Consider the following 25,259-nt stretch of genomic DNA (forward strand, 5'->3'; position numbering starts at 1 on the left):
ATGAGTTTTGGCAGGACATTGAAACCATAGAAATATTCAAAAGTATTAAATTATACAATAATATTCTGTTTATGAAAATTAAAGACTTTTCACTCATTTATGAAAACTTTCTCACTAACCATAAATACAAATATGTATATTTAAAAGATCAACATGGAAATATAGATATTTTCCATCTACCTTGTACTGGTTAACTTGCTGAATAAAATATTACCCCAAAACTCAGTGGCTTAAAACAACAGCCTTTTATTATTGCTTGTGTTTCTACAAGTCCACTGGAGGTCTGCTGACAACTAATCTAGGTGGACTCTGAGGGCAGCTCTGCTCCATGTGTCTCTCATTCTCCTCCTGTGACTAGTGGTTTGCTTGAGCAGGTCCTTCTCATGGTGATTGCAGATGTATAGCTGGAAACACTGGAGGCTTCTTAAGACCTAGCACAGTATACCTGAGCACAGGTATACTGACATTTCCATCATCTTTCATTGTTCCAAAAAAGTTACATGGTCAAGTATCAAGTCAAGGGGCAGGGAAGTATATTCCATCCATCATGAGGCCATGGCAAAGATATATATGGTGGCACAGGTGAAAAATCAAGGCTATTAACAGAATTTACTTCATACCTGTGGCAAGAATCTGCAGTAGCTTACAACAAAAAGCATAGAGAGGGTCTATCACTAAAAAGTTGGTCTAAAAGCGACAATTTACAATACCACACCAGGCCAAAGGAAACTGTTGTCATCAGGCATGGTTATGACTTCTGACATTCCTGATAATCAAGGCAAAAGGGAAAGGAAAATAAGATGTCTGAGAAAAGGAAGAGTAACAATTTGTGATGAAAATTAAATAGACACATATATATCTAACTCACAATATATTTACTCTAGATGTATACATTCACATACATTTCACATAGTTAGAAAACGGACTGTTAGCATATTACAAGATAAATTCTTAATCTAATAATCTCATACATGCCCATCATTCATGCTCTATCTCTCTTTCAAATATTGTTCTTACTTTTTACAAAAAAAAAAATTTGAGATCTGAGAATTTTTCCCCTTTTACTCAGAGGTATCTCTGTGTGTAGGGTCATTTAATGATAAGGAACAGACCATCCCTTTTACCTCTGAAGAGTACCCTGTTTTTCAGCCAAGAGAGACCAGACAAAGATAACCAGGCAGATTTTTTTTCACCCCTAGTGTCTGACTGGATGACAAAGAAGTCTGGTGCTTTAGCCAAGTTGTCTGCCAACAATTCCTTTTCTTCACTTGCTATTAGTTGCCTGGTCACAAGAAAAAAAGCAAAACAAAACAGTCTTTATCAACTTATGGACATCTTACTTTCCCACTTAATAAATATTTGGGTCTATCTGTTGCCTCACATCCCGTGTGAGTTGGTATGAGAACCGGTCTGACTATTTTGTATAGAAACAAACACTTAGACATGTGCCTTTGGGCAAATATCTGCAACACTGGTAATACTTTGCATATGTATACTTTTTTCAGTTTCTCAAACAAGTGGCAACATGGTGAGATTGAAAGGTTTGGGTCTGTAACAGCCTCCAATTTTATCCTATTTACTTACTCTGTGTGAAACAGAAACATCAGTTAATATATTAGAATTTCAATTTTTTCATTGGTAAAAGTGATGACAATTATAACTACTTTTAAGTATGGTTAAAAGGATTAACACTGCGAGAGAGAGAGAGAGTGTGTGTGTGTTTGGCAGGGTGGTAGCACATGTTAAGTATTATTCAACAGATGTTAGACTCCTTTCCTGTATGAAGTCAGGACGACTATCCTTATTCATTAATTAAACACAAGCTAAGAACCTGTGCCATATCAAAAAGAGTAAATCAAACAAATAAGAAAACTGAACTATAAAATTAGAAGTGAGTTTCCGGGGGTCACACAAAAGAAAGACTTTAAGGCTAGAAACCATATTTCCTGGTTCTCAATCCATTGTCTATTCTATTGCTATACTTTTTATTCATTTATTTATTCATTCATTCAATCAATCATCCGTTCCTCCCTTAATCATTTGCACTCATTCTATTCAAGGGCTTCTTATATAGCTGTATAGGTTGTACATGTCATAATAGCTGTGTGACCTGGCCTCTTCCAAACTTCACAAACCATGCTCTTCCAACGCTTACTATAGCATTGTTCTTATTCTAGCTACCCTGTGCATTTTTCAGTTTGCTTGTATTGAAATTGTGTACCATATTATTAGCCTCAGTAACAAGTTCAAATGAAGAGTGACAAGCGAGACTTTGTATCTTTCCTCTCATCCAGGTATTCTCACTTTGCCTCCTCAGAAGTTCATTTAAATAAAAGCAATCAATGTATCCATGTTGGCACTTGGGGATGGCCAGCCTGGAAAACGTCTATAAAATGTGTCCCTTGTGCTACAATTGGCTAAAGCATCATTAAACAGAGGAACAGATTCTATGCAGCAGGTTTGTGATAATAGCATTGTGTTCCTTCTCATTGAGGAGGAAGGCTTTAGCCAGGGACAATTTCAATTTTGGTCTGGTCTCAACTGCTCGTTCATCCAAATTATTCAGATTAGCTTCTGAGTCTTTCCCCCATTATGGACCTAAAACAGCTTTGCTCTGGGGTCCTGATTATTTGCAATGGGAGGTCTCTATACTATTTTTATGAAACTGTTTGTGTTTTTCAGGGTTTACTTCAAATATTGAGGTATATTAGTCTGTTCTTACACTGCTATAAATAAATCCCTGAGACTGGGTGATTTATAAAGAAAAAAGGTTAATTCGTTCATGGTTCTGCAGACTGCACAGAAAGCATGATGTTGGCTTCTGCTGGGCTTCTGGGGAGCCTCAGGAAACTTACAATTATGGTGGAAGGCGAAGTAGGAGTGAGCACCTCATATGGCCAGAGCAGGAAGAAGTGGAGGGAGATGCCACATATATTTAGGCAACCAGACTCACGAGAGCTCACTATCACAAGAACAGTACCAAGGGGGAAATCCACCCCCATGATCCATTCACCTCCCACTAGGCCTCACCTCCAACTCTGGGGATTATAATTCATTATGAGAATTGGGCAGGGAGACAGACCTAAACCATATCATGAGGATTCTTTAAAGAATTGGTAAGAAAATTTTGCTTGGTCTCCAGATACTAACAAATGACAGGTAAAAAGTTACTAAATATCAAGTCTTGATTTTTATTTCTGCTTATAGGACCCAACAGATTTTTAGTGGTCTGTGTACTCAGGCCAGCTGCCTCTTTATTTTTCAGTTAAGGCTTAGTATGTATCTTTTTGTCTGTCTTTTAAAAATACACATGTTATTTCTTCCATTGCATGGCAGGAGGAAGTATTTTAAGAGTCCTTGAGTTAGGAAGGGTAAATTTCTGGATGGAGTCCAAGATTACAGCAGCCTCCTCCACTGGGGAGAAACCTGGACAACATTAAATTTCCCATGTAGCATCATTAAACATTCTCTTGTTGCCCTAGTTCATGATTTTATTGTTTAACCAGTTCACACTGACAGTCTTGTGGGTTATAGTTCTGTTTGACTGTCGAGTACATACTATTTCCATTATATTACATTCCAATATGTTCTGAAGGAACATGATACATGTGTGCATGGAGGAAATGTAAGTGACACCAAGTGGGCAGTTCTATTTCTCCTTGAATCTGACTTAATTTTAAGGATTGACTTTTTCCCCTCCTGTTAGCAAATTGTATTGTTCACCTTTACTTTGATATCCTGTATTTTGGACCTCTTCAAATTTTACAAGATTTTAAAACCCTAGTTCCTCCATTCCAGCTAATAGGAACTATTTTGCTTTTTTGCTATTTTGAAATTTCACTGGCTTTGAAGTTGATGTGTTTATTTTTATATTACTCTGTTCAGAAGAGTAGCTAACACCATTTAATAACTACCATACACTTGTCTAGCTTCTTGGTTGCTTCGTTTCATAGGTATCAATAGCTTCTTTTCATTAAATTGTTAATAAACTTGCAGATTAATAATGACTTTCTTGAGGGCAGAAATTAGGACTTTTATTCTATTGAATCCTCAGGATATAACCCAAAAACTGGCCACAGAGTTAATGTTTTATAAATATATGTTGCTTATTCTCATCTTCAGTAGAAGAAAACCCATCAAATAATAGCCATAAAACATAAAAATTAATGAAAGTATAAAAACTGCACAGGTGAGTGATATGGTCAGGCTTTGTTTCCCCACCCAAATCTCATCTTGAATTGTAATTCCCGTAATCCCCATGTGTCCAAGGGAGAGACCAGGTGGAGGTAATTGCATCATGGGAGTGATTTCCCCAGTGCTGTTCTTGTGACAGTGAGTTCCCATGAGATCTTTTACACTTCTCTCTGCACTTCTCCTCCCGGCCATCTTGTGAAGAAGGTGCCTTACTTCCCCTTCGCCTTCCGCCATGATTGTAAGTTTCCTGAGGCCTCCCCAGCCATGTGGAACTGGGAGTCAATTAAGCCTCTTTTCTTTATAAATTACCCAGTCTTGGGCATTTTTTAATAACAGTATGAAAATGGACGAATACAGTGGGTAAGAACATAGATTTTAGAGCCACACAGATCCAAGTCCAAATCCTGGATATGCTGCTGGATAATGATGTAATCTGGATAAGTTAATGATATCTCTTTGTGTCCTCATCTATAAAATGCAGATAATATCTGTCTTATAAAATTTTAATGAAAACTGAATAAAATAGCGCATGAAAGCACAATACTTAGCTCATAGTTAACACTCAATAAATAGTATATATCATGTTAATTATTAGCAGTAGTATCAATATTAGTATTACTAGTAGTATTAATATCAATATTGAAAGAGTGAGATTTATAGGATTCCTGCATCCTTTTTGGCATCAGATCCTAATTCTGACATTTACTAGGGTTTTTCTCCAGTTTTTATTGAGTTATAATTTACAAATTTAAATATATGTGTATTTAAGATGTACAACATAGCATTTTTATGTAACTATACTTTGTGTAATGATTTCCATAATCAAGTTAATTAACACGTGTAATCTCGTATAGTTATTATACTATTTTCTTTTTTTGTGGTAAGAACACTTAAGATCTGCTTTCTTAGCAAATTTCAAGTACATAATACATGATTATTAACAATAATCACCACGCTGTACAATAGATCTTCAAGCTTATTCACTGAAAGCTGAAAGCTATTTGTTCTGTGGCCTGTGTCAGGTAAGGTCTTTCGAGAAGCTGATGCCAAGACAGGATTAGATGTGTAAGAGGCTTGTTGTGGAAAGTGGTTATGAAGGATAAAGATGGATGGGACAAGAGAAGGCAGGTGATGCCGTTCTGGCACCTGTGAAAGGGGGGGTGGGAAGGAAGGAGGCTATTGAGGAGCTGCAGTTCTGATTATGGTCCTGAGAAATCCCTGGCTAGGCCAATGCAGGATCTCAGAGCAGATTTATAGGATTCCTGCATTAAGCAGGAGTGGACTAACTATGGTGCCACTGCTGTGTTCTGTCATGTCCTGGAGGCAGGGCAGGTGAAGTATGGCCTTAGCATGAATGTCAAGATCTGAAGATGCAGCCACATTTTCACCTATGCTTCCAGCAGCAGCTTTTCCTGAATGGAGATCTGACTAGTGCACCTCCATGCCCACCCCTTGGTCTTAAGGTCTATTTTTCCACTTGTTAGGGTCTCTGTTTGTCATCAGTGGCATAAACGACACACACAAAAAACTCCATTGAGGTAGTTAGATTTCACTTGAATGATTTGCCTGAAGTACCTGGAACGTAGTCAAGTGTTCAGAAAATGTTCATTCCTTTCCTTTTCCCCCAGTTTTTCCTTCTATTTTTAACTTCCCATCCCATAAAGGTAGATACCCAATCTTTACTGAATACTTTCAGTGACAAGATTCCAGCAAATAACTCAACATGGAAAAATCCTCACTTTTGTCTCATCTTGTAATCTTGCGTAAAATGTACTGACTAAAGTTGAATTACCCAGTTAATGGATTTGACCCTCTTGTTCTTTTATCTATGCAGTCAGCCTTGGAAAGAGAAAAAAAACAGAAAAAATGAAAAGTAATTCATATTTGGCATTAGATTTTATTTCTTGAGGGAATAAAACTTGTGTCTCAGTGAGATTAAATCATTTATGGAAACACTATGTCTTGAATGCTTTGTCCTATTCAAGTCGTGGGGGCACATTCACAAAATAGAGCTGCTTAGATCAGAGAAGATGAGCTGAGTGGGAAAGATTGGTATCTTCTCAGTGTTCTCAGAGACAAACCCTTCTGAATTCCAGCCAAATAATAGAGCACACAAAACTAGGGCATAGGTTGAAATAATTACATATTACACAGAAAAATTGAAAAATATAAAACATAATTAATGGGATTAGAATTCTACAAAATATTACATAAGCTATGGCAAGCAGATGATATATAAATACACATAGTTTTTAAATGATTCTTTCTATACACACTCTTTTAAAAGTTGCAGTTGGGAGAAGCACACACTTTGCTTTTTGCTTCTGCCTTGACTGTAACACATCACAAAAGTGTTGTTAGATTCAAAACACTTTCATGGAGAAGCTTTCCCAGCTCCAAACACAATCAGTTTAAATTAATTATTTTCCAGATTGCATAATGTTGTGTGGTTGTCTTTGGATGCCTTATAAGCAATATTTAAAAACATATATTACTCTCTGCAGAAAATTTCTCAGTAAAGCACTTTTATTTCCATGGTTGGCTTAACAAGGTTAATCCTGTTTGTATCTGTCCATTTTGGATATTTGAATTGAGTTCTGCTGAGATTCTTTCTATGAGATGGAAGAGAGAGAACTCTCAGGTTTTTGTGATGGCATTTGAAGCTCTACATGGTCAGATCGCCTACTAAAGAACTTCAAGAATTCCTCACTGCTCATAGGAAAAAAGGCAGATCATTTGGCTTAGACTTCATTTCTAAATAATTACATATTTAAAGTTACTAACAATACAAAGAATAATGAAATGAGCACCCATATATCCAAAACCCAGCCTTGCCAAATCTGAACATTTTGCTATTTCAGATTTTTGCTATGATTGAATCATTTTTATTCTAAAATGAGTCTGAAAGTTAGAGCTAGAGTTGTAGGCTCCTGCGATATCCTTCATCTCATCAAATTCCCACTCTTCCAAGAAGTAACCAATGTCCTAATTTGATGTGCATCATTCATGCAAGTGTTTTTGTCTTTCTATTATATATGCAATAGAGTATGTCTAAAAATAATTCATGACATTTACTAGGTTTTAAAATGTGCGTAGAAATTATATTCTATATATCCCACTGAAATGTATTTTTGTATGTGGTAGAGGAGTGAGGATACACTTGTTTTTTCTTTTACAAATGAATGTTACCACACTTCTTCATGTATAGTTTATAATCCTTCCTACCTCATTTTGTAGATTTGTTTAGGTGTTTTTCTTTTCTTCAATTTCTCTTTAAATCAGTTGTGGTAAGCTACATTTTTCTAGAAAATGGCTCATTTCTTCTACATTTTCAAACTTATTAGCAAAGTTTTCCAGAGATTAGCTTTAATATTTTTCATTTTCTGTTATTTTTATAATACATCCACTTTTCAAACTTTTAAGGCCTATGATTAACTTTGCTGTCTACTTTGTTTCCTGACTAACTTCTCCAGAGTTTCTTCTATTATATTAAATTAATTTTTATAATGAAACACAGCTTTTGATTTTAACAATTCTCTCTATTATAGGTTTGTTTTCTATTTCTTTAATTTCTATTTTCATACTTCTTATTTCTTCATTTGTGTGCTCTTTGGGTTTACACTTCAAAAATGTTTCCAATTTATTAAATTGTAAGCCTAGCGTTTTAATTTTCATGCCTTTTGTTTATAATACAGCAATGTCAAGTTACAATTTTTTCTCCAATTACTGCTTTAATTGATTTCTACTTGTTTTGACATTATCATTCACAGAGTTTATATTCTTGGGTGGAGTGGTAAAAGGTGATGAACAAAAATAATTAATAAGTGGTAAAATATATTTTATAGGTGACAAATGCCATAAAATATGTTCAAGGTAAAGTAATGAGGAATTCTGGGGGTAGAGATGGGATTTTTGCTATTTTAAATAGAATTATTAGGGAAGGCCTTATTCACAAGATGATATTTGTGTAAAAACTTGAAGGAAGCACCCTTGCCAATATCTAGGGGAAAAGCATTTAAACAGAGGGAACTGAAATTTCAAAAACTGAGGTAGAAGCAGGGTTGAAGTATTTTTCTCTTGAGTTTCCATTTCTTTATATATTAAACTAAAGTTTGGCCTGCAGCAGGGTTTCCTGACTTTCAAACTTTGGACATTTGCAAATAACCTTCCTGTTATTTACCTTATTCACATACCACCCAAAGAGTGTATAATGTATTGCCAAAAAATGCAGAGAGATGGAGTAGAGGTACTACTTATGTTAGCTTCAACCTAAGTAGGAACTTGTTTTTTGAATATTTATTAAGATAAATTTATAAATTTAATAATAATTAAATTGTCTGTGTGAAAACTACAATCATTCAGTATTACCAGTGAAATAAGTGCCGCATTTAGGAAAACAGCTTTAAATTAGAAAACTTAAACTCTTGTTTAGTTCTATTTCCATATGTTTATAAATTGACTACTGAATGAACATTAGATAATTCTATAATTTTCCATAGATATAATTTTTCTGATTCTCCTTCAAAATCTAAAATACCCTAAGTGTGATAAGAAATGTTGTTGGTTATCAGTATGATGGTCCCTGACTTATAATGATTCAACTTAATAACTTTTCAACTTTACAATGATGTGAAATTTTCACAATCTCAATTTAATGTACAGTATTCAATAAATTACATGAAATGTTAAATACTTTATTATAAAATAAGCTTTGTGTTAGGTGGTCTTGCCCAACTGTAATGTAAGGCTTATGTAAGTGTTCTGAGCACACTCAAGTAGGGTAGGCTAAGCTATGATGTTCAGTAGATTAAGTGTATTAAAAGCATTTTTAACACATAATATTTTCAACTTATGATGGGTTTATTGGGATGTAATTACACTGTAAGTTGAGGAGCATCTGTATTCTTTTTGTAACTTTTGTTTTAAGTTCAGGGGTACATGTGCTGGTTTGTTAAAGTATTTGAGGCAGCAAGGAAGTAGGTATGGCTGGAGCAGAATGAACATGGAACATATTTTGAGAATTAACAGGATATAAATTATTTTAAGTACTTTTACCACTAATGAGATAGGAAGCTACTGGCAGGTTTTAAGCCGAGGATTGACAGAGTCTGACTTTTATTTTTTTTAAGTTTCAAATGTTGAGAGCAGACTCTAGGGATAAGGACAGAATCAGGGAGGCCAGGTGAAGAAGCTACTAAAATAATCCTGACAAACAATGATAGCAGTTGGATTGTATTCATAGTGGTGAGTGAAATTAGTGAAAAAAAAAAGTAAATATTATAGTTGTCATTTTTCACATATTACTCTTCCTGCCATTTCTGTTTATCTTATTTTAAATTCCATCTTCCATGTCTCCTAAATTTCCTAAATGTTTATCTGTCTGTACTTAGTAGTTTCTTCAGGTCTATTTTTCATTTCACTAATTATTTCTTAAGCTTGTTTTAGGCTACTGTTTATACTTCCTTCCAATTTTAATATTAACAACTGTGTTTTTCATTTATATATTCTTTCTCAAATACATCTTTTTAATGATGTCTCATCCTTCTTTCATATATATCTTTTATATCTTTAGTCATTTTAAAGATTGTACCTTTAATCATATTAAACATACCTAATAGTTTCTATCTATTATCTAAAGTTCTTAGAGGCCTGTTGCTATTGCTTTGCTACCTTTCCCTAGTGATTGTTACTTCAGGAACTATGTAATTTTTCTTTGTGAGCTAATTTTCAATGAGGTTTTAACTTGGGAAACATTTTGTAAACTTGTTTGAAGGTATGGCCCATCAAATGGATTTGTGCTTGCTTCTTCTTGGAGCCCCCAAAATAATAGCTGTGTGTATCCCTTTTATGTTAATTTCTCAGCTTGTAGTTTTCCAGATCATTCATACAGCATTGATTCACTACTGTTGCTGTTGCAAAGATTGTCACACTCCAGTCTTAAGTGGCAAAAGTCTTTTGTAATAAATCACTAGAAATGAAAATTTTAATTTTGTGGCCAGGTTGACAAACAAATTTTATTTGTGCCTTCCTATAATGATAGATTTCTTAAACCTTTTATTCTATTTTTGTAGCCCTAGGAAAGCACTTAAACTGTGGGTAGATGTCAGTTATGCTTCCCTCTATCCCCAACATTTCAGGCCTAATATCTCCTTCTTCGTCCATTTACATGCATAAAAGTCAAGAGCTTTTTTAGTCCCAGGGTTTCCTTATGAACTTACTGGTGAGGTGTGCAGGGTTTTTGTTTCTGTTTTTTTTTTTTTTTTTTAGTTTCTGTGGATTTTCCTTTCTTGTTGGTTCACTTATGCCTTTAAATGGTATTTGTTGTGTTTTATGGAGCTGTCGAATGTGACATATTGACAGAAGTAGATGGTGAACTGTTTTGACACTTTGTGATCTGTTACTAATTTACCTTTCTGATTTTATATTTATTACCCATTGATTTACTCATACTAGCTTAATGACTTGGCCAAATTGACAAGTTATTACATTGCTTCTGCTGTTTTTTTCTCCTGGATTTTTTCCATTGCTAATCTCTTAAAACCATATATAACCCATATATTAAGGCTCAGCTTAAATGTCAATCCTTTCAGGAATCTGCCTTTCATATGCCAATGGGCAGGGGTATTTGCTCCTATGATGTCTTATCTTCACCTCTTCATTAGTGCCCATGGGCTTCCCCATCTATTATGCTTATTGTTATGCTCTTACCTTCTCCAGCATCACCCTGCCCTAGCATTAGACTGAGAACATATGATCCAGGACAAGAGCTGTGCTTGATTCATTCTGTATGTAACACAGGTATAGCACTATGTCTTTCAGAGTCTGAGAGTATATTAAATAAAATTGTGTAAAAGTAGAGTTTCAAGCAGAAGCTGTAATATAAACATACCATGAATGGAATTGGTATATCCAGTGAATGCTTAGATTAGATATCTGTAAATCTATTCCAATTTTAAGAACTAATAAAAAAATAATAAAAACAGTAGGAGGCAGCCAAATGCCTAGGCAGATAGGGGTAGGTCCCCAGTGAAAACCCACCTCCAAGCCAAAGACAGTTTAAAGCCTAAAAGACTAGGTACAAGTTAAATCCTTAGACTGGATTGAGAACTTGTCTTCCTGTTTGGCATGCTTTCCTCTTGATTCCCACCCTTCACCTATTTTACCTATACCTACCCTTTCCTAATTGTTTTTCTATGCTGTCATGCCCACCTTTGAGTGGTGACTTTGCTTCAACATTTATTGCATACTCACAAACCAATCAGCATGCACTTCCCATCCTGTGCCTATAAAGACCCCAGAATCAGTTGGTAGAGGGGGAGACAGCCTGCCTTTGGGGAAGAGACAACCTGACTTTGGGGAAGACCATCTGCCCTTCCCATTCCCTCTCTAGTTTCCCTCTCCACTGAGAGCCGTTTTCATTGCTCAATAAAATTCTCTGCCTTCACCATCCTTCAATCATCTGCATGACTTCATTCTTCTTGGACAATGGACAAGAACCTGGGACCCACCAAGTGTGGTTACCCAGAAACGCTGTCACGCTGGCTCTTTGCCCTTGCTGGTGGAGGGCAGCCACCTCACACAATGAGGCAAGGGGCCAACTGAGTTGCTAACATACCACCGTCCGTGGAAGGTGGAACTAAAGGAGCACTGTAACATCCCCTCTGGGGCTTCAGGATCATGGGCACCCTCACATGGGCACTGCCACATTCCCCTCAAGGCGACACACCTGATCTGACCACAGGCGCTGCAGGAAGCTTGTTCCTGTATCGGCACTCAGAGCGGCTGGCTGGGTTCCTCACTCACTCGCTCGTGTGCTCCCTCCCACAAGGGGTTGAGTGCAGTAGGCTGAGTAGAGGGGGCACCCCTGCCATGAGTTCAGCAAAGGGGTCAAGAAAAATCCTGCATCAATAATAGCCCAAATGGTTAAGCCTATTATGTTTCAGGCACTTTGCTAGGTGCTTTACTTAGATGATCTCTAATTCCCCTGACAATTCAGAAAAACAGATGAGGTTAAGGTAGTTGCAGAAGATCAGAGGCAGTAGAAGTCAGAGCTGAGATTTGGATCTAGATCTATCTAGCTTCCAAAGACAACAAAAGGCAAATGTACATAATTGCCAAAAGAGGAAAGCAATGAGCTTTAGTGAAGATAAAGTATTGTTTATTCCAGGTAGATGGTCAGAGACGGTAGACTGAAGTAGATGAAATTGGAAGAATGCCACTCATTTGTTAAGGTACAGTTCCAGTGCCCCCTCATCCAGGAAGCACTGACTCCCCTGCCTAGATAGTTCCTTCCTTCTGGTTTTCCTCAGTCCTCTCTGTATTTACCACAATTTTTACATTTTAATCACTTGATTTTAATAATCTGTTTATGGGTTTTTTTCTCCACTAGCCAATGACTGTCTTAAGGACAGGAACTTTAATTTTTTTTACTCTTTTTTTCATGCTATTCTCATAAAATATTGATGTGTTTCTATCAAAATATTTACATAACATATTCTGGTCTCAGAGATTCATAATGCAAATAAATAAATAAAGGTTCTAAGAACTCTTGCAAAAGAGATTTGTTTAGCCTCAGCTAAAGTAACATTTCCCAATTCTGTTTGACCACAGATCTCCTTTTTTTTTTTTTAGAACACTTACTGATATTTGTGTACTAATATTTTGGAAAATAAACCTTGATATAGTTTTCATACATTACTTTCTTTAATGTTTCTTTTCTCTTTGTTTTTGGGGTGATAGATAAGTAGTGGTGTTCACTAATTTTATAATATAAAATAAATTGTCATCATATCAATTGCTAAAAGAAAGTATGCTGTGTAGCAAGCAGTAAACAGTTTGTTAAAGAAAACTGCTCTCTTGGTAAGAAAAAGTACTTGGCATTTCTGTCTTTGAGGTAGCCACACTTGTCCTAGCAATGTGTGTGTGTCTGCATGGTGTGTGTGTGTGTGTGGCAGGGGGGTATGTGGTATGTGTGGTGGGGCATCCATAAATCCAATCCAAATTTGCTCCTCACTTTGATTACTCTTTTAGATTGTTACTTCGTTTCTTCACAAGCATAGACTTCTTTGTCTGCTGCTTCTGTTGAAGCACATAAATCCAAGTGGCAGCTGTAATATTTAGAAGTACAAAATACATGGGAAAGGGCTCAACAGTTTTCTCAGTGCTAATGGCAGCCAAGGGCTGAGCTGTGTGTGTCATAAATGGTAGGGTTGTCCAAAGGAAAAAATCCTTTGTAGGCAGTTTTATCCTCTTTAAATTTTTGCTTTTAAAGAGTGGAATCTTTCAGTAGCAGAAGCGGTTACAATCAAACCTCACCTGTTTTTTACATCTCACAGCTCCTTGGGGAACACAGCAAATGAAGATGACCCAGGGAAAAAGGGGTAGTGATGCCAAGTTCTTAGCAGAACGGCTTTCCAAAAGACGTGCTATGCAGAGGTGCTTTTCTGTTTCATAACCATTTTGGTGTCTCTTGCCCCATGAAATGACTCTAGAAAAGTCTCCTTTTCTGCAGCCATAAATGCCTCTACTATGATCCTCAGGAAAACACTCATAAAACACACTCATGTGAGGAATTCAATGTTACTTGTCTCATGAGTCCCCAGTATACTACATATGCAGGCATAGACCTATATTTAATACCAAAACATTTGGAAATGGTGCACCCCAAGATTCTCAGTTTCCAGTATAATTATAAAGCACTTGCTAAAGTAGAGTGAAAAAGATGTTTTTATTCCTTAATGTTGTTTTTGTTTTATTTACTATGCTTGGTAAGTAGGTAGACTCCTAAATAAAAAACAAAAGTTAATTTTAAAATATTGCTGGTAACATTTTGATCAGGAAAAATACCATTATTGAGGACCTACCATGGATCAGCATTATGCATTTTATTCCTCTAAATTCTCACAATGCTCTTATAAGGTAACATTTATTCTCATTTTACATATGAGGAAAAAGATCTCAGAGGCTGAGAGGTCACAGAATTATGAAATGCTAGAGCTAATGTCTGAAACAAGGTTTTCAACATCTCCAAGGGTATAATAGGAATGCTGGAGGAGTGGAGGCAATTTCAGGTCAAGTTATCTATGAGATAGTATCTGCAGCAAGACATGAGGACATGAGCCTAGAGTCACTGTGTTGCAGGATTTTTGTCAGCCCCTTTACTGGACTCTCAGAAGGGGTGCCATCTACTCAGCCCACAGTGCTCAACCCCTTGCTGGAGGGAGCACATGAGTGAGCAAGTGCAGAACTGGCCAGCCACTTCATGGAGCAAGCTCCGTGCAGGGCCTGCATCCAGAGCAGGTGTGCCACCACAAGGGGAATGCAACAGCCCCCAAGTGAGGGTGCCTGTGACCTTGAAGCCCCAGAGGGGGTGTTACAGTGCTTCTTTAGTTCCACCAGCCATTGACAGTGGCCTGTTAGTAGCTCAGTTGGCTCCTTGCCTCATTGCATGGGGTGGCTGCCCTCTGCCACTGAAGGCAAAGGGCCGGTGTGACAACATTTCTAGGTACCCACACTCAGTGGGTCCCGAGCTCTTGTCCAGCATCCAAGAAGAATGAAGTCACATGGATGGTTGAAGTGTGGTGAAGGCAGATAATTTTATTGAGCAATGAAAATGGCTGTCAGCAGAAAGGAGAGCTGGAGATGGGATGGGAAGTTCAGGTCCTCTTCCCCAAAGTCAGGTTGTCTCTTCCCTAAGGTCAGGCCATCTCACTTTCTACCTACCGAGTCTGGGGTCTTTATAGGCACCGGACACGGAGTGCATGCTGATTTGTTTGTGAGTATGCAAAAATGGTTAAAGCAAAAGACACTACTCAAAGTTGGGCATGACAGTGTAGAAAACCAATTAGGAAAGGATAGGTATACGTAAAATTGGTGAAGGGTGGAGATCAATCAGAGGAGAGCATGCCAAACAGGAAGACAAGTTGACAGGGAGACATCACTCCTGGTTCATGGCCTCTTCTGTGATGGTGGTGCCATTCCCTAAGATGGAGAAGGGTGGGGACTAACTGGGGTTTGAGAGGCAGAAATCAAAAGTACCACTGGGGTCATAGAATTAGCTAGTGTCAAGTTAAAAGGAAAAGAATACAGAAACTACTAGATATTTTTTCCAAAGAAGCATCTGTTGCAGGAAAATGGCCACAAAGGTCAGGGGTGCATTATAACTTTCATAGCTCTTTGCACTTTTAATTTCTTGGGCCTTTTCCTCCATTAATCTTTTTTAAATGTTTTATGACTATATTGGTGTAATGACAAATATAATCTAAGCTAGCATCATTGTCATATATTTATTTTTTTCTTCTGATGAAAAAATAAAAATGAAAACGTTTCTTTGGCCTCTAAATTGTGGGCCCAAGGTACTGTGCCTGATGGATATGTTGGCTCTCATAACAGTGTTGAAATGAGGGGAGAGTGAAAGGGGAATGGGGTATTCCAGCAACACAAAGGTCCTGCCACCAATGGGCTAGAGTTCGTGAGCTGCACTTATCCGCTGATGGCACTGGAACCACCAAATGCTTCAATCTCATTGTTCCCTCAATTGCTGCAGCTGCTCAAAGTGCCATCACAGAAATTTCTGGAATGGTCACAACTGCTACTGAGCAGAAAATTTCAGGGTTGCCATTGCCAGAGGTACTGCCAACTGCTGAACTGTTCTTAATTTCTTGTCCTTTCTCATCTCCCTGTAGTATGTTTTATTGGCAGAACCTGATGGGAATTCAGCAGGCCTGGGAGTCTGGGGCCTGTCATTTGCAGGCTTCCAGTCCTCCATCCAGGAGACCACAAGAGAGCAAATTCTGGATTGATAATCAACCGATAAGTATCTGGCATATGCATGTTAAGTTTGAGATGTCTGTGAAAGATACCAATGGAAATGTCAAGTGAGAGCACATTGAGGGGGGTGTGGAGAAATGAGTTAGACAACTAAGCCTGCAACTAAGATCACCAACATTTCCACCAGATAAAAGAAGAAAAACTGGCAGAAGAGCCTGGGAAGAAATCCAAGTGGAAAAGCAGCCAAATGTAGAAGCTAAGAGGGGAGAATGTTTTTAGAAAGGGTGGATGATCAGCTGCGTTAAACACTGCTGAAAGGCTTAAGAAGACAAAAACATGAAAATGTCATTGGATTTCACATCATGGCCATTGTTGGTAACCTTGACGAGGGTAATTTCAATCAAGAGCTATGCACAGGGGCCAAAATGGCTTCGTGCTTTCTGATTTACTTTATGAAATCCCCTATGGTATGTGGATTATTACCTCACACATCTACTGAGTTCCAAACTCAGCTTTCTGACAAGTCCAGTCTTGTTTCTACTATCTCAAAAAGTTATAAAATAATCACTGTCCTTCCTTTATGAGCAATAACACTGAGAAATAGAAGGTTCCAATCCTTTCTTGCAAAAATTCTGGCCATGTGCAACTTGGACCACATGGAATCTCAAATTAAAAAATATTCTTAGATGAAAAATTCCAAGGCCTCTAGCATTTCTCATCGGTAAGTGCTTTGAGTGTGCACAGATGGAAACCAGGAGTAGGTATGGTCTTCCCATTACCACCACCCCAACACTTATTTTATCATCCTTTCTTTAAAGAGCAGAGAAGTTTTGGTGTTCTGATCCCTTTATTTTAAGGCAATGGCAGATAACTTTAGATCACATCTGTCAGCTAAAAAAATCCAAGGAAGCTGTTGCATGCTAGTCAGCCTTCAGAAGATGAAAGGTCAAATAATAACTGGTGAGGTGAGAGGAGCTGTGAAAGGGGAAAATGAAAATCTATTGAAAAATGAGGAGTTACCATGTAAGGCTAAGTAGCTGAGAAGGGCCCCAGGAGAATATTCTTGCTGATTCCAAAAAGTCCATGGAATTACTAGTGGCACCAACAGGAATATTAAGATAGAGAAAGAATCCAAAGAAGAATGATATTTTGTCATCTCTGGGGCATTCAATTATCTGGGAAAATCAGGTACATTTCTTTTTCCAATTCCTAAGTTTGTCCTTTGCCTACATTGCTGTAATGATTTCCTTATTTGTCTCCGGCAATTGTCATAAACCCTGATTATGACTCTCTACACTATAGAAAAGATGATATGATATTCCAAACACACAAGTTTAACCACATAGTTTAAACTCTCCATTGCTTCCCATTACTTTCAGGATAAAGTGCAAATTCCTTAAGATAGCTTACCTTTCTTACCTTCTCCACCCATCTACCACCAGATACACATACACCCCTGCCCCAAACTCCAACTATAATAACTACTCCCATTTATCCTGGATAATTCCTGTTTTTCATTCCAGCTTAGATATCACCTCGTGTGGAAAAAAAAAAAAATCCTTCTCAAATCTCTAAGACTGGGCTAAGTTCCTTCACTAGGTACCTCTAGCCCTGCCTTAACATATTTCTCTATATAGATTATTTGACTGACTTCTCCACTAGACTGTAAACTCTGGAGGGTTGGGACTATGTCTTCTTCACTATTATAAGTTGTATTAGTCTGTTTTCATGCTGCTGGAAAAGACATACCCAAGACTGGGAAGAAAAAGAGGTTTAATTGGACTTACAGTCCCACATGACTGGAGAGGCCTTAGAATCATAGCGGGAGGCAAAAAACGCTTCTTACATGGCGGCGGCAAGAGAAAATGAAAAAGATGCAAAACCAGGAACCCCTGATAAAGCCATCAGACCTTGTGAGACTTATTCACTATCATGAGAACAGTATGGGGGAAACTGCTTCTGTGATTCAAATTATGTCCCACTGGGTCCCTCCCACAACACATGGGAATTATGGGAGTACAATTCAAGAGGAGATTTGGGTAGGGACACAGAGCCAAACCATATCATTCCACTCCTGGCCCCTCCAAATTTCATGTCCTCACATTTCAAAACCAATCATTCCTTCCTAACTGTTCCCCAAAGTCTTAAATCATTTCAACATTAACCCAAAAGTCTATAGTCCAAAGGCTCATCTGAGACAAGGCAAGTTCCTTCTGCCTATAAGCCTGTAAAATCAAAAGCAAGCTAGTTACTTTCTAGATACAATGGGGGTATAGGTATTGGGTAAATACAGCCATTCCAAACAGGAGAAATTGTCCAAAACAAAGGGGTTACAGGGCCCATGCAAGTCTGAAATCCAGTGGGGCAGTCAAATTTTAAAGCTCCAAAATGATCTCCTTTGACTCCATGTCTCACATCCAGGTCATGCTGATGCAAGAGGTAGGTTCCCATAGTCTTGGGCAGCTCTGCCCCTGTAGCTTTGCAGGGTATAACCCCCCTCCTGGCTTCTGCCACAGGCTGGTGTTGAGTGTCTGCAGCTGTTCCAGGTGCATGGTACAAGCTATCACTGGATCTACCATTCTGGGGTCTGGAGGACAGAGGCCGTCTTCTCACAGCTCCACCAGGCAGTGGCCCATTAGGGACTCTGTGTGGGGCTTCAACCCCATATTTCCCTTCCAAACTGCCCTAGCAGAGGTGAGGGGCCCACCCCTGCAGAAAACTTTTGCCTGGGCATCCAGGCATTTCCATACATCTTCTGAAATCTAGGTGGAGGTTCCCAAACATCAATTCTTGATTTCTGTGCACCCAGAGGCTCAACATCACATGGAAGCTGCCTAAGTTTGGGGTTTGCACCCTTTGAAACTATGGGCTGAGCTGTACATTGGCCCCTTTTAGCAATGGCTGGAGCAGCTGGGATGCAGGGCACCAAGTCCCTAGGCTGCACAGAGCATGGGGACCCTGGGTCAGGCCCACAAAACCATTTTTTCCTCCTAAGCTTCTGGGTCTGTGATGGGAGGGGCTGCCATGAAGACCTATGACATGCTCCGGAGACATTTTCCCCATTGTCTGGAGGATTAACATTGGGCTGCTTGTTACATATGCAAATTTCCACAGCCAGCTTGAATTTCTCCTCAAAAAATGGGTTTTCCTTTTCTACTGCATCATCAGGCTGCAAATTTTCTGAACTTTTATGATCTGTTTCCCTTTTAAAATGGAATGCTTTTAACAGCACCCAGGTCACGTTTTGAATGCTTTGCTGCTTAGAAATTTCTTCTGCCAGATACCCTAAATCAGCTCTCTCGAATTCAAAGTTCCACAAATCTCTAGGGCAGGGGCAAAAATGCCACCAATCTCTTTGCTAAAACATAATAAGAGTCACATTTGCTCCAATTCCCAACAAGTTCTTCATCTCCATCTAAGACCATGTCAGCTTGGACCTTATTGTTCATATCATTATCAGCATTTTTGTCAAAGCCATTCAACAAGTCTCTAGGAGGTTCCAAACTTTCCCACATTTTCCTGTCTTCTTCTGAGCCCTCCAAACTCTTCCAACCTCTCTGTTACCAAGTTTCAAAGGTGCTTTCACATTTTCAAACATCTTTTCAGCAACACCCTAATCCTGGTACCAATTTACTGTATTAGTCCATTTTCATGCTGCTGATAAAGACATACCTGAGACTGGGAAGAAAAAGAGGTTTAAATGGACTTATTTTACCATCCCATAGGGCTGGGGAGGCCTCAGAATCATGGCGAGAGGTGAAAGGCACTTCTTACATGGTTGTGGCAAGAGAAAAATGAGGAAGATGCAAAAGCATCTTCTGATAAAACCATCAGATCTCGTGAGACTTATTCACTACCATGAGAACAGTATGGGGGAAACCACCCCCATGATTCAAATTATCTCCCACCCGGTCCCTCCCACAACACATGGGAATTATGGGAGTACAATTCAAGATGAGATGTGGGTGGGGACACAGCCAAACCGTATCATAACACTAATGCCTAGCACAACATATGGCTCATTTTATCAATAAAGACTCATTGAATAAATAAATTCATGAGAGAGAAAAAAACAGCTAGGACAATTCCAGGGGCTGAATTGAGCCTGGACATTCATCACTCAAGATATCTCAAGGGAGTGCAGCCAGGAAGGAATCATTGTTGAAAAACTGAAGGTCAAAGTCAATAAATCCAGACCACATGTCTTGTCCAAAGACAGAATATCAACCTAAGAATGAGTTGGCAAATAAAGAGTTTGGTGAGTTTATAGAAATATAGGGGCCGGGCGCGGTGGCTCACGCCTGTAATCCCAGCACTTTGGGAGGCCGAGGCGGGCGGATCACGAGGTCAGGAGATCGAGACCATCCTGGCTAAAACGGTGAAACCCCGTCTCTACTAAAAATACAAAAAAAAAATTAGCCGGGCGTAGTGGCGGGCACCTGTAGTCCCAGCTACTTGGGAGGCTGAGGCAGGAGAATGGCGTGAACCCAGGAGGCGGAGCTTGCAGTGAGCCGAGATCCCGCCACTGCACTCCAGCCTGGGCAACAGAGCGAGACTCCGTCTCAAAAAAAAAAAAAAAAAAAAAAAAAAGAAATATAGGACAAGGTACAAGGAATGGCTGAAGGAGAGAGGTTGTCCTGTTCATTTGGGCTGCTGTAACAAAATACCTTAGATTTGGTGGCTTATAAACATCAGAAATGTATTGCTCCCAGTTCTGAACACTGGGAACTCCAAGATGAAGGTACTGGCAGAGTCAGTGTCTGTGGAGGGCTCACGCTCTGGTTCATCATTAGCACTTTCACTGTGTCCTTACAGTGGAAGGGGCAGGGCAACTGTCTGGGGACTATTTTATAAGGGCACTAATCCCATTCATGAGGGTGTCACCCTCATGACCTAATCACCTCCCAAAGTCCTGACTTGATACCATCGTCTTGGGGATTAGGTTTCAACATATGAATTTTGAGGTAACAAACATTCAGACCATAGCAGTGGAGAATCATCAGTTTGGAGCCCTTTTGTGTGTACTCATCAGGTCTAGCGGAAGTGGGGAGAAGAGTTTCAAGGGGCTCATCTAAGCTGACTTGCATGTATACAGTAAAGTGTAATAGACACATCACAGGGTACTGGAATCAGATCGCTTGCATTTGTATCCTGGCTCCTCCATCTCTTACTAGCTCTGTAACTTTGAAGAAGTTACTAGCCCTTCTACACATCAGCTTTTCTCATCTGAAAACAATCATACTAATAATGCCAAACTCTTAAATTCATTGTGATTTGTTGGTTGGTTTGTTTGGAGACAGGATCTTGCTCTTGCACCCAGGCTAGCCGGCTAGACTGCAGTGGTGCTATCACAGCTCACTGCAGCCTTGAACTCCTGTGCTCAAGCAATCTTCTCACCTCAGCCTCCCAAGTAGCTGGGACTACAGGCATGCACCACCATATCCTGCTTATTTTCAATTTTTTTGTAGAGATGGGGTCTCACTATGTTGCCCAGGTTGGTCTCAAACTCCAGCCTCAAGTGATCCTCCCACCTTGGCCTCCCCAAATACGGGGATTACAAACTTCAGCCACTGCATCTGGCCTAAATTCACTGTGATTTTTAAATGAGCTGATTTGTGCAAATTCTCTAAATTAGTACCTGGTACATAAAAAGCTCTCAATAAGTGTGAGAAATTAGTAAATATTAATGATGCCTTCAAGATTAACATATGCCACATGTGTCCAGGCTCTCTGTGTTGGTCCACATTAAGGACTTTCCTAAAGGCAAGTCCCCCTTTGTTTGGTATATGGTATCCTGTATCTCAGACTTTTTTCACTATGCATAATAGAGTTCTTTCTACCTGCAACATACACTTGGACAGAATATATTTAGAAGTTTAAGATATGAAGTTACTTAACAGCATTTTCTAACAGTGACATGAAACTGCCAAGGCCCTGTCCCATCTCCTTTCACCCTGCTTACTATGGCTGGGGTCAAGCAGCATCATTTCCTCTTTGAAGGCACTGAGACATCCCCAACAGGATTTCTGACTCAGTGGCAAAGGCCCCATTTGGATATTGGACCCCAATCTGAATTGTGCAGCTTCATTTCCTAGAGAAGCCAAATTATTAATTTCATGATATAGGTAGTGATATAGAGGCTTTGTTTTCTTAAAAATTCTTATTCTTTAACATCTGGGAGGCTTTACATTCACAGCAAAAATAAAAAGGTGGATTCATGATCCATCCCTGCAGGATGTTGGGCTAGTGGGGACTCTCCTAGGCCCCATCAGTGTCTGCTCTCCCAACTGGGTGCAAAGGGTCCTTGTGGCCTGCAGCAAAGGAGCTGGTGGGCAGGAGTAGACAGTGCAAGTGCCCCTGAGAGATGGACAGGGAGCACAGCCTCCTTCTGTCTCCAGCACATCTCAAAGATGTCCAACTCAAAAATGACAAACTGCATGGGACACCATTGGGCATCTTCAGGCTTCCCTGCTCCTGGGGATCATGGTGTTCACACAGGCACATCCCACACTCACTTCCGCTCACACCCACACCCAGATTCTACTGACTCTGGCAAACAGATGCAGGCTAAATGCTAGGACCACCTCCCCACAGCTGCTCACACCTTCCCAGGAGGGCTTGTCTCTTGCACCTGGGAAGTGACCTATTTCCTCTAGAGCTAACCAGGGCAGATGGACAACTTGGCCAAGGGCCCTGTTCCCACAAGGACAGAGGGTGGGCAGGCACTTGGCTGCTAACAGAGCAGCCCTGGTCGCCCCATATGGGCTGACTTCAAGCAAAGGGACACCCCCATGACCTGTCAGCAGCTTCTTCTGCAATCATCTCTCCAGGGTCCATCAAGGAGTAAACTCAGTGCAATGCAGGGCATGAGGGTCACTAGTGCTGGCCTCCTGGAGGGCTCTGGCTCACTGGGCCAGATGGTTTGGTCTTGGCTTGGGGTCAGTGGCTGCTTCTTTCCCCAAGATCCACTGGCAATTGCTCTGTTGAGACAGCTGGAAGGCATCGGGGACCCAGGAGTGTATCCTGCAGAAAAACTCCCAAAGAAGAGGATACTTGGGGTCAGAGTCTCAAGGAATGCAGAGTGCATCCTGGGTAGAACCTCCACTGAAGCCTGACAGGGTCAGGTGCTGGGAAGCAGCCAAGGAGGCCTGGAAGCACGCCCCACTGGAAATGGGTATTGTGGGCAGAGGCCAAGGCTCTGCAAACCTCTCTCTCCCAGAATCTGGAAGAGACGATCCCAGCTCTGCTGGGAGGGAGGATGGATGAGGCTCTTGGGCAGGCCTAGTGGTTTAGGGATAGCAGCTTAACAGTGTGGTGATCACAACTTCAGGAGGCAGGTCCCAAGGCAACAAGTGCTAGTGACAGAGAGCAGGCCTGCTGACCTGGCTGGCAGCTCGTGCCTCCTGCTCACTCTCCCCGCAACCTGGGAACCAGAAGGAAGAGTGTGACAGGCAGGGCTCAGGCAGCACCTGCGAAATCCCTGGAGAACTGGGGACAGAGAAGACAAAGAGCAGGGCCTGCTCACACACATAAAGGAACACACACTGCAGTGCCCAGCCTGCCACTGTAGCAGCCGTGTGCTGCCCCAGCAGTTAATGCCACCCTGGAAGAGTGGAGAGCTGACCAGGACCTTGGCCTTCTTTGACTCCAGGGGTATATCAGCTCCGAGAAGAGGAGCTGGCCACACAGGGAGCCCCGGGAGTGCTTGGGTTGGCAGCACAGCTGGGGGTGGTAGGTGTGCACCATTGGCTATAGGCCCTAGGGCTGTCAGGCCACAGGATGTTCTGGATAAAGGAGGGTATGGGGTGGATGTAGCTGATCCACAGGTGGATGTGGTGAAGGAAGATGGCTCGCAGCACCTGTTTCAGTGCTGCGTTCCACCTGAGCCCGGCAGGGGTGCCCATTATCCACTCCAGCAGATTTGGAAGTTACCCCGCCACAAGGTAATAAGCTTGTCTCTTATATTCCTTCTTATAACTATTATTTTTTTCTCTTTTGTAATTGCCTCGGCTTGAGTAATAAATATGGGCTCTAAAAGTGTAAACATACAAACAACAGGTGGAGTATCTGAGAAATCCAGTTAATTCTTTCCTGAGGATTGGGACAGAGTTTTAGTGTAGGCAGCTCCTGCTTTTATCCCTTCTTGGTGCCTTGGCCTCAGTCACGTTGCCTTCCTCCACAGGCTTCTGCTAATTGACACTACTGTCTATAATTCTGCCGTGGGTACCTTAACTGAGAGTGCCTTTTGATTCTTCTGGGGAAATTCATCTACACCATTTCCTTAGACTTCTCAATCATTTCCTCATACTATAAGTAACACCATTTTAGAAAAGGAAAACAGTTTTCCCATTCTTCATCATGACATCCATTATTGGCACCTGTTACGTTTTATCATAGCTCTGAAATTCCTAAACTTCCTCAAGTTCATGGTACTTAGTGTCTCAGTAATTCCTTCATGGCATGCCTAGGCTTAAAGAAATACCTAATAATTCTGTTTATTAAGTAGTTAGTACAAAACAACTTGTTATAATAAGCATTATATTATATTATATATATTATATATGAAAAAATATATTCTGAAATAACCACACTAACTGTATTTGTTTGCTATGGCTTTGTATTAGTCAGGGTTCTCCAAGGAGACTATGTATATAAAATAAGAATTGGCTTGCACATTTTGGAGGCTGACAAGACTTAAGATCTGCAATCAGCAAGCTGCAGACCCGGGAGAGAGGATAGTATCATTCCTGTCCAAGTCCATGAACTAGGAGAGCCAGTGATGTAAGTTCTAATCCAAGTCTTGAGTCCAAAGGCAGGAGAAGATCAAGGTGCCAGCTCAAACAGTTAGGGAACAGTTAGGGAGAGAGAATAAATTCTTTTTACCCATCATTTTATTCTCTTCAGGCTTTCAACAGATTGGACAAGGCCCACCCACATTAAGAAGGGCAATCTGCTTTCCTCAGTCCGCCAATTCAAATGTCAGTCTCACTCAGAAACACCCTCACAGGCAAACTCAGACAATATTTAGTCAAGTATCTGTGCACTCGATGACCCAGTCAAGTTGACTCATAAAATTAGCCATCACTCGTTTTGATGTTAATAAAATATCCCAGACTGGGTGGCTTAAACAGCAAAAAAAATTGTTTTCTCACAGTTATGGTGGCTAGAAGTACAAGATGAAGGTGTTGACAGCTTTGATTTCTGCTGAGGCCTCTTTCCTTGGCTTGCAGATGGCCACCTTCTCACTGTGTTTCCACATGGTCTTTCCTCTGTGCGTGAGCATCCCTGGGGTCTCT

General features: G+C 40.1%; 1 long non-coding RNA gene and 1 pseudogene across 1 annotated transcript in view; both read right to left on the reverse strand.

Moving 5' to 3' along the window:
* Positions 1–230: 230 nt before the first annotated feature.
* The window catches only part of LINC01753 (long intergenic non-protein coding RNA 1753), a 29,355-nt gene continuing 4,326 nt past the window's right edge, over positions 231–25,259 (reverse strand). The window contains exons 2-3 of the long non-coding RNA NR_147162.1: positions 5,987–6,033; positions 231–766 (exon numbers count right to left, since the gene is read on the reverse strand). This is a non-coding gene — a long non-coding RNA (long intergenic non-protein coding RNA 1753). The remainder of the gene's footprint in view (positions 767–5,986; positions 6,034–25,259) is intronic.
* On the reverse strand, positions 23,336–23,902 carry PIGQP1 (phosphatidylinositol glycan anchor biosynthesis class Q pseudogene 1; annotated as a pseudogene).

The sequence above is a fragment of the Homo sapiens genome, chromosome 1, assembly GCF_000001405.40.
Source record: "Homo sapiens chromosome 1, GRCh38.p14 Primary Assembly".
NCBI lineage: Eukaryota > Metazoa > Chordata > Mammalia > Primates > Hominidae > Homo > Homo sapiens.